Source organism: Homo sapiens, chromosome 14 (assembly GCF_000001405.40).
Source record: "Homo sapiens chromosome 14, GRCh38.p14 Primary Assembly".
Lineage (NCBI taxonomy): Eukaryota > Metazoa > Chordata > Mammalia > Primates > Hominidae > Homo > Homo sapiens.
Window position 1 is genome coordinate 38,244,753 of NC_000014.9, and position 16,227 is coordinate 38,260,979.

The 16,227-nt window shown below is 39.1% G+C and overlaps 1 protein-coding gene and 1 long non-coding RNA gene across 2 annotated transcripts in view, besides 1 other annotated feature; one reads left to right on the forward strand and one right to left on the reverse strand.

Moving 5' to 3' along the window:
- Positions 1-9,247: 9,247 nt before the first annotated feature.
- CLEC14A (C-type lectin domain containing 14A) lies at positions 9,248-11,341 on the reverse strand. Its single transcript, NM_175060.3, has one exon. It carries the CDS (start codon positions 11,268-11,270, stop codon positions 9,798-9,800), a length of 1,473 nt encoding a protein of 490 aa, NP_778230.1. The 5' UTR covers positions 11,271-11,341; the 3' UTR covers positions 9,248-9,797.
- Positions 10,523-11,150: an enhancer, noted in NCBI's record as "H3K4me1 hESC enhancer chr14:38724480-38725107 (GRCh37/hg19 assembly coordinates)". NCBI's record gives its function as "activates a minimal SCP1, AML or CMV promoter by ChIP-STARR-seq in naive H9 embryonic stem cells {active_cell/tissue: H9 hESC(naive)}" and the evidence as "EXISTENCE:reporter gene assay evidence [ECO:0000049][PMID:30033119]".
- The window catches only part of LOC112268136 (uncharacterized), a 55,886-nt gene continuing 50,951 nt past the window's right edge, over positions 11,293-16,227 (forward strand). The window contains exon 1 of the long non-coding RNA NR_169588.1: positions 11,293-11,693. This is a non-coding gene — a long non-coding RNA (uncharacterized LOC112268136). The remainder of the gene's footprint in view (positions 11,694-16,227) is intronic.

A 16,227-nucleotide genomic window follows, 5' to 3' on the forward strand; every position in this document is an offset into this window, starting at 1 on the left:
TGGTCTGAGTGATTTGTAAATATCATGATACGGGCATTTCATAGTTTTTATCTTCAATCTGCTACTAAGATTGTTGATAAGTGCTTACACTACTCCAGGATACTGTAATAAGTCTCTATATTCATTTTTTCATAATATTCTTATGAGGCAGTTAACATTACCTCTATTGTACAGACAAAATATATGTGATATTTTCTAAACAAACCACTAATAATACCTAAATATATACAAATAGAAATGTCTTTATTCTTCAGTAAGAGAAGTCTGTTTTTGAGTTTTATTTCTGATGACAGAAAGCTAATCTTGCCACAAGGTAAACTCAGCTCCTTCTTATTTTTCTTAGTGCTGCCTGGTTGACTATTCACCATAAAATTCTCTCCCTCTTAGTTTTTCTCTTACCCATAGAAATGACCTATGTCTCAGGAAGTTTCCATCTTGCCCTGGCATTGGGGGATAGATGAACTACTAGAAGAAAACACTGGGAAAATGCCATAGGACACGAGTTTGGGCAAAGATTTTTGGGGTAAGACCTCAAAAGCACAGGCAATGAAAGCAAAAATTGACAAATGGGATTATATCAAGCTAAAAAGCTTCTGCACAGCAAAGGCAACAATTAATATAGTGAAGAGACAACTTGCAGAATGGGAGAAAATATCTGTAAACTTTCCATCTGACAGGAGATTAATATGTTAAATATTGTTCCAAAATGTATAAGAAACCCAAACAGCTCAATAGCAAAAAACAACAAATAATCTAATTTAAAAATGGGCAAAACACCTGAATAGACATTTCTCAAAAGAAGGCATACAAATGACTAACAGGTATATAATAAAATGTTCAACATCACTAATAATCAGTGAAAGGTAATTCAAAACCACAGTGCAATATCATACCACCCTAGTTAGACTGGCTGTTATCACAATGACAAACAATAACAAATGCTGGTAAAGGGGTGGAGGAAAGGGAACATTTATACATTGTTGGCAGGAATGGAAATTGGTACAGCCACTATGGAAAACAGTATAGAGGTTCTTTTAAACACTAAAAATAGAACTACCATGTAATCCAGCAATCCCACTGCTGGGTATGCATCCAAACGAAAGAAAATTAGTACATTGAAGAGATATCTGCATTTTCATGTTTATTGCAGCACTATTCATAACAGCCTAGATATGAAATCACTTATACTTGATATAAGTGGAATTATACAGCATTTGTTCTTTTGTTACTGGCTTATTTCACTTAGCATAATCTCAAAATGATGATAGGTGTCTATCAATGGATGAACGGATAAAGAAAATGTGGTACAAATTCACAATGGAATAGAATTCAGGCATAGAAAGAATGCAATGCTGTCATTTGCAGCAACATGGATGAGACTGGAGGTCATTATGTTAAGTGAAGTAAGCCAGGCGCAGAAACACAAATATCACATGTTCTCACTCATATGTGAGAGCTAAAAAAAAGTGTATCTCATGAAGGTAGAGAGTGGAATGGTGGTTACCAGAGGCTAAGAAGGGAAAGGAGAAGAGTGGGATGAAGAGAAGTTGATTAATGGGTACCAAAATGTAGATAGAAGGAATGAGTTCTAGTATTTGATATTATAGTAGGGAAATTATAGTTAATAATAATAATTTATCATATATTTCAAAATTGCTAGAAGAGAAGAATTGTAATGTTCCCAACACAAATAAAAGATAAATGTTTGAGGTGATGAATATCCCAGTTACCCCGATTTAATAACTACACATAGCATACATGTATCAAAATATTACATATACACTTAAAGTATGTACAACTCTGATGATTTTCTAATCATGCATTAATAATCACTCAGTTTGGCTGAGGAGACATGCCAGTAATTTCCTATAAAATATTTAACACTAAGCAGCATAACCTTACAAGGTGTCCTCCAATGTAAATGAGCTGCTAAATATATCTCTAGGTAACTAAAAGAACTTGACCTATAAGTGAAGATATTTCATCAAATCAGTTATATTTTTGCAAATATCTGCCAAAACGAGATTTTACTTTTAACTTAATATTGATGATTTTTTCCTTTTTGGCAATAAATAGGTATTGGAATCAATTAATTTTTAGAAACCTCTAAATAGTTAACCTACATAGTAAGACACATTCTTTCTATTGCATTTAAGGTGGCATAAGAACCTGTATTCAATCCTTCTAAATAATCATTAGAAATCTGAGATATAGGTTAAGAAGCAGGGTGATTAAAACACACACACACACACATACACAAAACCTCCTACATGCCAGACACTGAGGTGATACGATGTGTGACCATTAGATCCTATCCTAGAGTCAGGACTTCGGAAACACCTTTCGGGTAAAATGATATTCAATCTTATACCTGAAAAATAATGGCGGTTTTCCAGATGAAGTGAAGGGAACAGGTTGTTTTAGATAGTTTTTTTTTTTAAAGACAGTTTTTAAAAAGTACATGGATATGTGTAGATGGGTAAGCATAAATTGTGATAAGAATTCAATATCTCTTCATCTTCCCTTCCTTCCCCTTTTGAAACAATTTAGCCAAAACGTCATTAAGTGGGGCTAAGCAGGGTCAGTGTCCATGCCAGTAGAATGGGGAGGCATCGTGCTCAAGAGCAAAATGTTAGAGTCTGAGTGGTGTAAAGAGAATGGACCAGATGGTGGCCCAGTTTAGTGTCTGAGCCCAAGCAGGAAGAAGAGAACTTTCACAAAGGCAGGGCTGCTGGTAACAGGCGGCTGTTTGGGATCAGAACCCAAGTGGCTTGAAGAGGATATCTTCAAGGGATGCCAGCCAAGAGCAGAGTAACAGAGACCAAGTGGGATGAGAAGACCGAACCCTATGGTGTTAGACTGGAATTAGAGATATTGGTGTGAGTTATGGTTTTCAATACAAATGGAAGTATAAATAGATAAGATAGATTTAGGAAAAATGTAGGTATAAACACGTGTATATGTGTGTGTATATTTTAGGTTTATGTATATTTATGCATACACATACACACATAAACACAAACATACATTTCCTAACGCTCTTTTTTGAGAAGACACCTAGTAACAACAATAACTTAAAAGCAATGAGTATATCTAGTACATAGATCATGTTTTCTGATGACCATTTTTCCTTAAAATTAACTGAAGCTTCTTGGACTTGAGCAGAGGAAGTACAAAATGAGTCTGGGCTATTTTCTTGTACCAGAAAGCAAAGAACTATCCAAGAAGGTCGGGAGCCTGTCAGAAGGGCATAGGAGACAACCTGAAGGGGATCACACTGCCTAAATCTGAGATAATTTAAATATCAAAGTAAATGACGATAGTAACTTTTTGAATAAAATAGAAGTTCATAAATATATACTGATATAAATAAGATATTGAAAGTTTCATGAGGAACTGTATATTTACACAGTCTCAAATTACCTCCCCACAAAACACTTATTAATTATGAAGGAAGAATTTATAGTTAAGAAGTCTGGCAAACACCACCTTAATTGAATGATCAAAGTTGACATCACAAATAATGTGACAATTTGAAATCATATACCAACTGCTAAGAATCAAAAGCAAGGGAAACAAAGGATCACTTCTATAATATTCCATCCAAAGATGCACAACCTGGATGAAAAACAAACCCTAATTAAGAACATGCTACAAAGTAAATCTATCCAATAATCTCAAAAACTGCTGATGTCACTGAAGTCAAGGAATGACTGGGGAATTCTTCTAGACTGAAGAAGACTGCAAAGACATCTAAATGCAACACATGGGTGGTACTTCCAGATGGCAAAGTGAGTTTCTCTGAAAAATCTGCTCCTTCTTAAAAGCAGCGAGGAACGTGGAAAACATTGTCAAAATCATATCCTTCGGTACTCTTAAAATTAACCAAAAATCTGCAATAGCCCAAAAAGTGTTTATTCAAGAAAAATAGCTAAATCTTGGTAAGAATAGTGAGCTTTATGGCATTTTAACTTGGCCTAGTTTCATCTTCCATTGCCCAGCTCTGCAGAAGCCTTAAAAAGCAGCAGCATTGCAAACATAGTAGCTGTGAAGACCATCATCCTAGCAGCCACTAGGAGGGGCAGAACAGGTTTGGAGCTTCAATAGAGCCCCATCCACACAGAATTATCACTATTTGACCTGTCACTCAGCTTCATGGAAAAGCCCCATTCACAGGAATTATTATTTGACATGATTCAGAGTTCACTCAGTGGGAAAAGTCCTATTTCTAGAGTAGTTGTTCAAAACATTAAGTGGCAATTAATTAACATAGCAGCTTCTCAAAGGAGGAAAAACATAGGACTATAGCTTGAGATAGAAGATATGGATTTGAGAAGCACAATATAAGAAGAAAAATACTATGGAATGCTTGTTGTGGATTGCACTGTGTCCTCCAGAAACACGTTTACATTAGCCCCTGGTACCTGTGAATGTGACCTTATTTGAAAATAAGGTCTTTGCAGATATAATCAAATTAAAATAGTATTACTGGCTTAAAGTAGGCCTTAAATCCAGTTACTGGTGTCCTTATAAGGAAAGGGAAATTTGGACATAGACATACAGAAGAGACACACACAGAGAAGTAAGAAGGCTATGTGACAACAGAGGTAGAGATTGGAGTGATGCAGCCGCAAGCCGGGGAACACCAAGGATTGCTGTCAATCACGAGATGCTAGGAAGAAGCAATGATTCTTTCTTAGAGACATGACAGGAAACATGGTCTTGTCAACAACTTGAGTTCAAATTGCTAACCTCCAGAGCTGTGAAAGAATAAATTTCTATTATTTGAAGCAGAATTAAAGCAACAGTATGTGGCAATTTGTTAGAGCAGCCACAGGAAACTAATAGAAGTTGTGATGCCAATTACGGCAAAGAAGAAGCTGGACAAAAACTGAAAAGGAAGATATGGAGAAAGAGTTGTCTATAAGGGCCTTTATAAAGCTCCAATGTATTCCTGGGAATCTAGGAAAGTATATGATTGTGTAAGGCTGTGTACTACCCAGGAAAGATCTGAGAAGGCTCTTAATTTCTTCCCTCTGAGTGACACTGAGGCCCTGCAAAAGCACTAAGTGAAGTCCAAGGCAGAACTGTAAACTGAGAACTGAAGGCCTGCTCTGACACCAAGCAGTGCCCTTCCACAAACGAATGAAAATTTATTGGCCTGATCGTTAAAAAAATCTATTTCATCCGGGCGCAGTGGCTCACACCTGTAATCCCAGCACTTTGGGAGGCCGAGGCCGGTAGATCACGAGATCAGGAGATCGAGACCATCCTGACCAACATGGTGAAACCCCATCTCTACTAAAATACAAAAAAATTAGCGCGCAGCCTGTAGTCCTTGCTACTTGGGAGGCTGAGGCAGGGGAACTGCTTGAACCCAAGAGATGGAGGTTGCAGTGAGCCGAGATCGCACCACTACACTCCAGCCTGGGTGACAGAACGAGACTCTGGCTCAAAAGAAAAAAAAGTCTATTTCATTTGCTGAACACTAAGCTAACTGAACAGGGTTAGAAGTTAGCTCAGTGGCCACATATGCCAGAGAATATAGACTTTTTAGAACCAATCAAGGAAAGTAACTGAATGAACAGCAGCAACAACAACAAACTGTGTTGTGGCTGTCAGAAAATAGATTGAGAGAGCTGCCACATTATATTATTTAAAACATCTAGTTTTCAATGAAAAGTTATGAGTCACACAAAGAAAGAGAAAAGCAGTCACAGAAAAGAAGCTTAAATAGCAAGTGGAAAAACAATTCAAGATGTAAAGGGGATCCTTAATAAAATGAACAGCTGACTTCTATCAGAAACTATGAAGTTCAGGAGGCAGTAAAATGACATAAGCAAAGTGTTAAAAGGAAAAGACTCTTAAGCCAAAATTCTACATCTAGCCAAATTATTCTTTAAAAATAGAAGAAGAATTTAGGGCATTCTCAGTTAAACAAAATCAGATAATTTGTCACTAGCAGATATACCCTACAAAAGAAAACATTAAAGAGAGTCCTTCGTGATAATATGAAAGGACACTAACCAATAACAAATCCACACAAAGAAATAGAGCACTGGTAAAGGTAACTACAAAATACAGTATAAATTTAGTTTTTGCTTGTAACTTTTTTATTCTCTTACCTAATTTAAAAGGTAACTGCAGGCCAGGCAAAGTGGCTCATGCCTGTAATCCCAACACTTTGGGAACCCAAGGTGGGAGGATCGCCTGAGGCCAGGAGTTTGAGACTAGCCTGGGCAACAAAGTGAGACTCCAGCTCTACAAAAATACAAAAATATTATCTGGGTGTGGTGGCATGCACCTAGAATCTCAACTACTTGGAAGGCTGAGAGGATCACTTGAGCTCAGAAGTTTGAGATTACAATTAGCTATCATTGTGCCACTTCACTCCAGCCTGGGTGACAGAATGAGACCCTGTCTCTTAAAAAAACTGCATGAAGCAATAATTATAAAATTGTTATAGTGTAAAGATATAATCTGACTAACAGGAATAGCACAAAGGAGGAGGAAAAGAATATAGCCACATTGGAGCAAAATTTTGTAAACTATTAAAATTAAGTTGATCTTCATCCTAATTATATAGTTTTTAAGTTAAGATATTAATTGTAATCCTCAGGGTAATTACTTGGAAAAGAACTTTACAAAAGGAAAAGAGACAATATGAGAATTAAAATGGTAATTTTAGAAATATTTACTTGATACAAAATAAAACAATAATAAAGAAATAAAAGAACAAAAAAGACATAAGACATGTGGAAAACAAACAGAAAACAGTAGGTGTAAATCCTCTCTTAGTGGTAATTATATTAAACACACATGTACGAAACACTTCAATCAGAAGGCAGATACTGAACAATGGATTATTAAAAAATGGTCAAAATATGAGCTGCCTAAAAGAGACACAATTTAGATTCAAAAGCTTAAGTGGTTGAAAGCTAAAGGATGTAAAAAGCCCATACCAAGCATAAAGACAGCCATAAGACAACTAATACCATACAAAATAGATTTTAAACAAGATCTCTCACTAAAGATAAAGACGGACATTTTATAACGATAAAAGGGCTCATCTGTCTGGAAATATAATAAACGTACAAGCACATGACAACAGAGCCCCCAAAATACATGAAACAAAACCTGGCAGAATTGACAGGAGAAATAGACAACCTAATAATAACAGAGACTTCAATAGGCCCCTTAAATAATGAAGTCTAAAAAGTAAAAAAAATAAATAAATTTCAAAAAATGTTTATAAAATAAGAATATAAAGAAAGAAAATATTTTTGTACAGCTGTACAATGTGTTTGTGTTTCAAGCTAAGTGTTATTACATAAGAGTCAAAAAGTTTAAAAATTAAAAAGTTTTTAAAGCAAAAAAAGTTACAGTAAGCTAAGGTTAGTTTATTACTGAAGGTAAAATTTTTAAAATAATTTTAGTGTAGCCTAAGTGTATAGCGTTTATAAAGTGTCCCAGGCCTTCACATTCACATTCACTCACCGCTTCCTCACTGAATCACCCAGAGCAACTTCCAGTCCTTTAAAAAGCTCCATTCATGGTAAGTACCCTATACAATAAAGTGTATCATTTTCTATCTTTTATACTGTAATTTAATTGTACCTTTTCTATGTTTAGATCTGTTTAGATACAGAGATACTTACCACTGTGTTAAAACTGCCTACAGTATTCAGTGCTGTAACATGCTATACAGGTTTGTAGCCTAGGGGTGTAATAGGTTATACCACCTAGGTTTTTGTAAGTACGTGCTATGGTGTTGACACAATGACGAAATTGCCTAAAAACACATTTTTCAGAATGTATTCCTATTGTAAAGCAATGCATGACTATGTATACACACACACACACACACACACACACACACACAAACAGTTCAGCTCACTTATAGATAAAGCTATTTTTCAAATTACAAAAGAAAGCATCATATATTCTACTCAAATTTTTACCTTCTCTACTGAGAGATCATGTGAAGAGGAAAGCTAAAACACCAAGATTGAGATGAACTGAGATATACTCTGACAAGTCAGGTTGGGGAACATGGGCAAGCCATTTACTGTACTTATCTGATTTTTAATTTCACTTGTAAAATAATATTTAAAATTCCCCTGAATGTTGTTAATTCTAATTTTTCTGTAATTTTATTTAAGTGTAACTATTTAGAAACATATTTAGTATATGAGGCAAATTACCTATTGTTTCATTCTTTTAATGTTATAATACTAAATATATATATTTATATTTAGGAAATGAATTTATGGATTGAGCTGTTTTAATTTTTTAGTAATATTTTATAATTGGTCACTTACGACTTGTAAGTCTATTTTCCATTGTATACATTGTACACTCAAAAACATTAAAATAATTCTGTGAAAATAAAGTGTAAGCTTCTGTTTTCATTCCTCCCTGTTACTAAGCTTGTTTCTCTGCCTCTCTGCATGCACCAACCCCCACACTCTTAGTTTTAAAGTCTCAGCGTACTAATAAAAGTGGGATATCTTCTAGGGACTTTGATTCCACGAGGCAGTGATTTTTATTATGTCTTAATTATTTTTCATGGGAGTGCTTCATTTAGATTACTTTCTAATACCCCCCAGTTATAACAAGATGATAGATTTTTTAAAATTTGTCACTTATTTCTTATACTATTATTTCTTATGGTAAACTGTTTACCATGCCTTTGCCCATGTAAACACTTGTAAGATTATAATCACTCCAAAATGAGCAAGTATTGTTATTGCACACATTCTTATCAAGAGAAAAAGAAAATGGCTTGGTGTTCAAGTTTTTCCATGGGTTGAAAAATGCACAAGAACTTAGCAACTTTGGAGGAAAACCAGCTTACTTTTTCTTTGATGCAACCAGAAGATTGCAAATCAATACTTAGCATTAACATTTTAATTGAGAATTAACATCACCATAATTGAAGATGAGGATGAGCATCTTGATGTTCAGGAGAGGGCTATTTGCTTGGGGAGGTCATTACGCTGGAAAGCACAAACACTGGAAAGGGAAAACGCAAATTATGTGTTTTCCTTGGGCATGGACATAAAGTAAACACTTGAACTGGTGGTCAACTGTAATTTTCTTCCAGAGCCAGCAATTCTGGCAACACTACACTTTCGATTTATAGCAAAGCACACAAGTAGCAGTGACTTTGAAAAGAAAGGATAAAAGAATCAATGAAAAAGTTACTAGTTCTTAAAGATCTGTGTCTCATTCGAGGAACTTAAGGACCTCTCCCTCAATCTAAAAGCAGAATGCACTCTTGCTGCTTACTCCCAGCATGCCCTCAGCTGTTCCTAATTACTCCTGGAGGAAGGCAATGATATTTGAGTCTGGGTTATCAACAATCCTTTAATTTTTTATTTTTATTTTTTTCCCTGGGATTTCGAACCAATATACTCCTAGCCTGAACAACATAGAACATTTCCTTTCCATTTTGGTAGAAATTATTTTTTAATGTAAATTATATTGTGTTCTATTTGTTTCCAATGTCTTGAAAAGTTCAATCACTTCTCCAAATTCTCCGAATAAACATAAGAAAATATCTCTCCCCAGCACTACCCGGTCCCCCAGTATCACCATCCTAAAGGCACTTCCACTTCCTCTATCATCAGGGAAGGAGTGTGCAGTTCTGATTTAGCTCCTCAGTGGAGTAAAGGGAATTTAGAGGAAGGGGGATTTCTGCAGAAATTGTCAGTTACACAAGTAAGTTCCTCTTGGTTCCCCGTTTCATCAAAAGTGAAAAACTGTTCACAGGAGTGCCCATGTCCCCTGTTTCCCTATGCATCACTAGAGCCAAGAGGGGACTCCGCCAGCAAGGCACCCTCTGCTCTGTCCCGCAGATCACAGTCCCCGACTTTCACCCCATTGTTTGTGCAATGTGCAGAACTGGAGCCCAAAGCAGCGGGCTCAGGATCACTCTCCAGGCCCGGCGGGCCCATAGACTCCTTCCTTGGCTGGGAAGAGGGGCTTTCGTGAAAGCAGAGCTTGACAAGCCCCAGTACTGTCATGGTCAAGATCACCAACACTACTACTGCTGTGCTCACAAATATGAAGACCACGGCAGAGGAGGAGTCGAAAGCCTGAGGAGTGGCAGAGGAAGTCGTAGAATTAAACTTGGAAATCACGCTCCCTGATGGGGTGATAGTGGCCTTTGACTCGGCTTGAAGGGACATTTGAAGGGTAGACATCGTGCTCTGTGATCCCCATCGAGGAATCTCAGGAATAGATGTTACTGAATTGTCTTGTTCAGGGACAAGTGGTGTCTCTCCCAGCTTCTCGTCGACCCTGATTGGCCATGTTCTCTGCGGCACGGGGCTGGTTGCAGTGGCCGGCGGGCGCCTGGTGGGCACCCCGGTCCCCCCAAGGGTCGGCTGTCCTTCCCCACTGGTCACACAAGAGCGGCCGTCCTTCCCCAGCTCGAAGCCCGTAGCACATTCGCAGGCAAAGCCTCCCAAGTCGTCTAGGCAGTTAGGGAGCTCTGCGCATTTGCCAGCACGGAGGTACCTCCCGGGGCAGGGACACAACACATCGCCCGAGAGTTTGTCCCAGCGAGCGCCGATTTCGTCCGCGATGCAAGTAACTGAGATCGGGAGCTGTCCCCGGCAGAGCGCACTCACCTCGGTCCCAGGTGGACTGAAGTCCAGAGCGGCGCTGTGCAGCTGGAAGGGCGCGCGATAGCTCAAGTTAGAGGCGGCCCCGGGGCGCGGCGCAGGACACAAGACCTCAAACTGGTACTTGCACAGGTAGCCGTTGGCGCGCAGGTGGCATCGCATCTCCTTCCAGCCTGCGGGCTCGACCCCACCGGTGGCCTGGAGTACCGCGCATCTCCGCGCGGTGCAGGAGCGTTGGGGCTCCTCCACCCACTGCAGCGTGTCGCTTTCGAGACCGCCGGGGTCGGAGGACAGCCAGGAGAAACCCCGCAAAGGCTCGTTCTCCAGGGTGCAGTGGGAACGCCTGCGCTCCAGTGCGACCCAGAACAGCAGGTCTTTGGAGCCCCCTCCGGGCCCTGGGCCTGCCCGCAGGAGCGCGAGCACAGCGCGCAGCTCGGCGCCCGCACGCACGGTGCTGAGCGCCCCACCTCGCAGGATGCAGGCCTCCTCGGCCGCCTGCCGCTTCATGGTAGCGTGGTGCAGGCTGTAGCAGGCCCCCGAGGCCGAGCAGCCAGCACGGTCGGCAGTGGGGTGTTCGCCGCCGCCCGGCCCGGGCCAGAGCGCCTGCCAGAGGAGGCACAGGGCGAACGCCGGCCTCATTCTCTGAGGCCCCGCACGCAGAGCTGCTCCCAACTTGGATCTGTCCCGCTCGAGGACGCAGAGCTGTGTCTGGAGCGCGGTCACCGCCCTCTACAGCTGGCTTCCCCAACCCGGTTCCCCCTCCCTTCCCCTCCGCCCTCGCTCCCGACGGACCCCCCAACTGCCAAGAATCCCCCCGCGGGCCCAGCGGCCAACAGTTTCCCTTAGGCCGCGACAGGAAATGTGTGCGGAGCGCTGCCAGGCCCGGTGCAGCCCTGAGTTATTCTGGGGTCAGGAACACAGCTGGCGCCGGGTACAGGGGACGCAGTCGACTAGAAGGTCAAACACCCTGCTTAGAGCAAGAGGAGAAATTCGCCACTGGGATGAAGTGTGTGGTTTTTCTCCGTTCAGGGAGTTTCATCAGGACCGCAGAACCCATAACACGTAAGCGAACATAGGCAGGAAGGACTTGAGAAAGGAACTGGCTTATGATTATAAGACCACGCCCGTCTATTGTGTTTCTGTCCGGAGCTGTGGAGTTAGCGTCAGAATAATTCGTAGACGGCTCCAGTGTTTGGGGGGCCTGTGCCTGTGGGGGAAAAATATGTTGTGAAACAACTTAGCAACTGCTTTTGCCACCAGAGGCAGCACTATTTAACCGCATATCTCTCTATGGGTCTTTGCTTCTCTATTATGTCAAGAGATTTCAGGAGTCCTAACTACTAAAGAATTTGGAGTTGTTTGGGTATTTTAAATGGGAAATTCTGCTTCTTCCATCAGCACTTGCTTTAGAAATTTATTTTTCACTTCCACGTGTTTCTCTTTGAGTTAGACCATATTGATTCATTACAGAAAGGAAATGTATTTCTAGGACTAAATGAAAAATAATGACCATAGATCTTAACAGTTAGGTTGTTAGCTTTCCTTGCCACTGTATTGGTTCAAAAATTCTTCAAGTTTATAGGTTATACATAAATGAGTTCGTGGCCTTATAAATATTCGAGAACAACTGCCCTATGTGTGATTTTAGCCTTGAACTATTTTAGTATCATTTTCTCCTATGATTGAGTGGCAGCATTTATAATAGTAAGTTGTAAACATCTCCTTTAAGGAAAATTAGAGTTCCTTAAGAAATTAAAATGTTTATTCCATTATAATGAATATTGTATACTGTCAAAAAATATCTTGTAATTTGAAAGATGGGTGAGCCAATTTCTTTAGAATTCCAGTGGGTGTTTTGTTTTAATATAAACATTTCAACTCAGTGGGAAGTGGCAAGGAATTAAAGATGAATAAAGAAGTAAAGGTTAAAAACTGTACTGTTATGAAAGGATTTCTTGTTAGCAACTTAGACAATTCAGTATCAGTTTAGAAAACGTACATTCTATCTTGGTTCATAATGGCCAAATACGTTGCCATCAGAAATACATAGAGAGTTTCAGCTAAGCCCTCTTAGAGATGTCTGATGCTTTTAAATATCTTTAATCAGAATGAAAGTTGCCATTCCATGGATAATGCATATAAGCTCACTTTGTTTTACTGCATTCAGGTTGATGAGGGGTGGGAGGGAAGGTTTCAGGATCACATCTGTATGCTTCCATCTTATTTTTACCATAACTCTCATTCTTCTTTCCTCCTGGAAATTCCATGTATCTTAACAAACAACAGTAAGCCTATGAGTCATCATCATACTTACCTTGCTTTTGCTGAGTATGGAGCTTTGCACTAGGATTTCTCTCCTGCCCTATTTCCCAATTTAAAGAACATTCCTTAGTCCTTCCTTCAGATGTCTGAGAATCACCTTAAACGTGGCTTTGCGTTTAAATTAGGTAACTTAGTGTCTTATAAGAAAGAAACATGAAAATCCAGAAATCAAATTGAATGGTTTTTAAAAAATACTTAGTCACTTGGGCCAGCTCTCTATAGACCATTGCAATCTTATGACTGTGTTTGTAAATGTGTCCATGTAGTGCAATATTTTTAATAAAATCTTTTTCAAACTTAAGTAGTCAATGGAAATTTCTTAGATAGCTTTAAAAATCGTTTGGGATGAGATGAGGTGTCTACAGTAAGAAAGAATGAATAGCTGGAAAGCTTAAGTAAATACATGATCTCACTCCCTGACATTCTGTCTAGGGGAGTGGGATTATAGCAGAGAACACATTGGCCATAACGACTATATGAGAGTACTGACCATGACCATGACCATATCATGGAATGACACAAGAGTTAGAAAAAATTAGCTCAAAGTAGGACGTAAATAGTTTTGTAATTAGTTTGAAATAGACAGTTTATCTGACCAAATTAGAAATGGAGGAAAGTTTCTATTTTTTAATAATATTTATTAAGATAATAATATAGAACCATTTTACCCCCACTGGATTCCAAATGCCTAAAAATCTTATAATACCAAATGTGAATCTATTGGCTCTTTTACATGTTACAGATTAGAGCAACCACTTTGGAAAAATTTGACACTTTTTTTCACTAAAATTGAATATTTGCAAACTCTAGCACTTCCATGATAAGGTATAAAACTAAGAGAAATTTTTGCACATGTACAACAGAAGATATGTAAAAAATGTTTATAGTGACACTATTCATATTAACAAAACGTTGAATCAATCAAAATATCCAAAAACAGTATAAAAATAAACTGTAGTATATTCACTAATTTAATATTATATAGGAGTAAAAATTAGTACAATATAGTGGCAAGTAACAATATGAATTTATTTTAGCAATACAATGTTAATGGACAGAAGTTCCAAAAACGATACAGAGTCTGACATTTTTATACAATTAAAAGAACAGTACTAGATATATGTTTGTGTATTCTTTAGAAAAATAGTTACAATAAAATGAGACAAAAGAAACAATAAACATAAGATTCTTAGTGATGCGCCTTTTGGGTGAGAGGAAAGAGAAGGATGGAATGTTAGGGGAACTAGCAGGCTTGATATGGGCTGTTGATAGAGTCCTAGCTTTTGTTTTGTGCAGTGGCTTTGTGTCACTACCCAAATAATGGAATCTTTATTCCATTATTAAAAATAAATAATTAGTAATGAACAAATAAATCAAAATGGCTATATCTGGATAAATAAGTGAATGGACATGAAGCAGGAATTAAAATTAATTTAATTCTGAGTGGTTGAGTTTCAAAATGAAAAGTAAAAATAAAATCAAAATGTTAATTATGTTTAAAATATATTTTCAGTATATTTTCTTTATTTTATTATTATACTTCAAGTTCTGGAGTACATGTGCAGAACATACAGGTTTGTTACATAGGTATACACGTGCCAGGGTGGTTTGCTGCACCCATCAACCTGTCATCTACATTAGGTATTTCTCCTAATGCTATCCCTCCCCTAGCCCCCCACCCCCTGACAGGCCCTGGTGTGTGATGTTCCCCTCCCTGTGTCCATGTGTTTTCATTGTTCAGCTCCCACTTATGAGTGAGAACATGCGGTGTTTGGTTTTCTGTTCTTGTGTTAGTTTGCTGAGAATGATGGTTTCCAACTTCATCCATGTCCCTGCAAAGGACATGAACTCATCCTTTTTTATGACTGCAAGTATTCCATGCTTTATATGTGCCACATTTTCTTTACCCAGCCTGGGCATTTTGCTCCACCTGAGTGCATTCCTCGTGGCCTGGGAGCATTTCAGATACCCTAGCGCACCTAGAACCTAAGCCCAAGGGTCCGGAGGATGGAGCCATGAGCCGGTCCTGGCTCCCCAGGACTACAGCACATAGTTCTGCGGTGCTGAACCAAGATCACTGGCCAGCACTCAAGTAGGGGAGAAGCCCACATTCTCAGAGCACTAAGAAGGGTAAGATGTGTGATTTCTTGGGCTGGCAAAGGAGCAGGACATACCTCCCTTTGCAGGGACAGTCTGAAAAAGGTATGGTCCATGTCTCTGCCATGGCCTCTGCTAGATGAATCCCTGTGGCTCAGAACACCTAACAAAAGAAATGTAGGCATGGTGTCAGTGATCAGAGGGAGCGCCCCTAAGGCCCAGGAAAAGTCCTAGTAGTGGAGTCACCTCTCTCCCAGCACACCCTGCACTGCAGAGCACTGCTGCAAATGTGAGGAAATACAAAAGAGCTGCACACCTAAGTGCCTATCTACCAACCATTACTCTTAAGTGCTATCTCCTGAATCACAGCCCAAACTACAATTCCAAAAATATTTTGCTAATATACCACCCACTGAAACCAAGGGCAAGAATTCAGCCACAAATAAAGTCCCTGTAAAGAGCCTTAGCCCTCTGAAAACATACAGAAATGACTACAGTCAACTTACATCATAGCTAAAGTAACATCCAACCTTCCCAGACAAGAAAGAATCAGCACAAAAACTTCAGCAATTCAAAAAGCCAGAGTGTCCCCTTACCTCCAAAGAAGTCCACTAGCTATCCAGCAATGGTTTTTAACCAGTCCGAAATGACTGAAATGACAGACGTAGAATTCAGAATCTGGATGGCAAAAAGCTCATTGGGATTCAGAAAAAAGTTGAAACCTAGTCCAAGGAATCCAAGCAATCCAGTAAAATAATTCAAGAGTGGAAAGACAAGATAGCCATTTTAGGAAAGAAACAAACTGAACTTTTATAGCTGAAAAATTCACTATAAGGATTTCATAATACAATTGGAACTACTGGCAGAATAGAACAAGTTGAGGAAAGAATCTCAGAGTTTGAAGATTGGTTTTTTGAATCAGATAAAAATAAAGAAAAAATTGAAAAAGTTAAGAAAACCTCTGAGAAATATGGGATTATGTAAAGAGACAAAATCTATGACACATTGGCATCTCTGAAAGAGAAGGAGAGAGAATAAGCAACTTGAAAAATATATCTGAGGATATAGTACATGAAAATTTCCCTAATCTCACTAGAGAGGTTTACATACTAACTCATGAAATACAGAGAACCCCATCTGGAAACTATACAAGATGACCATCCCCAAGGCACATGGT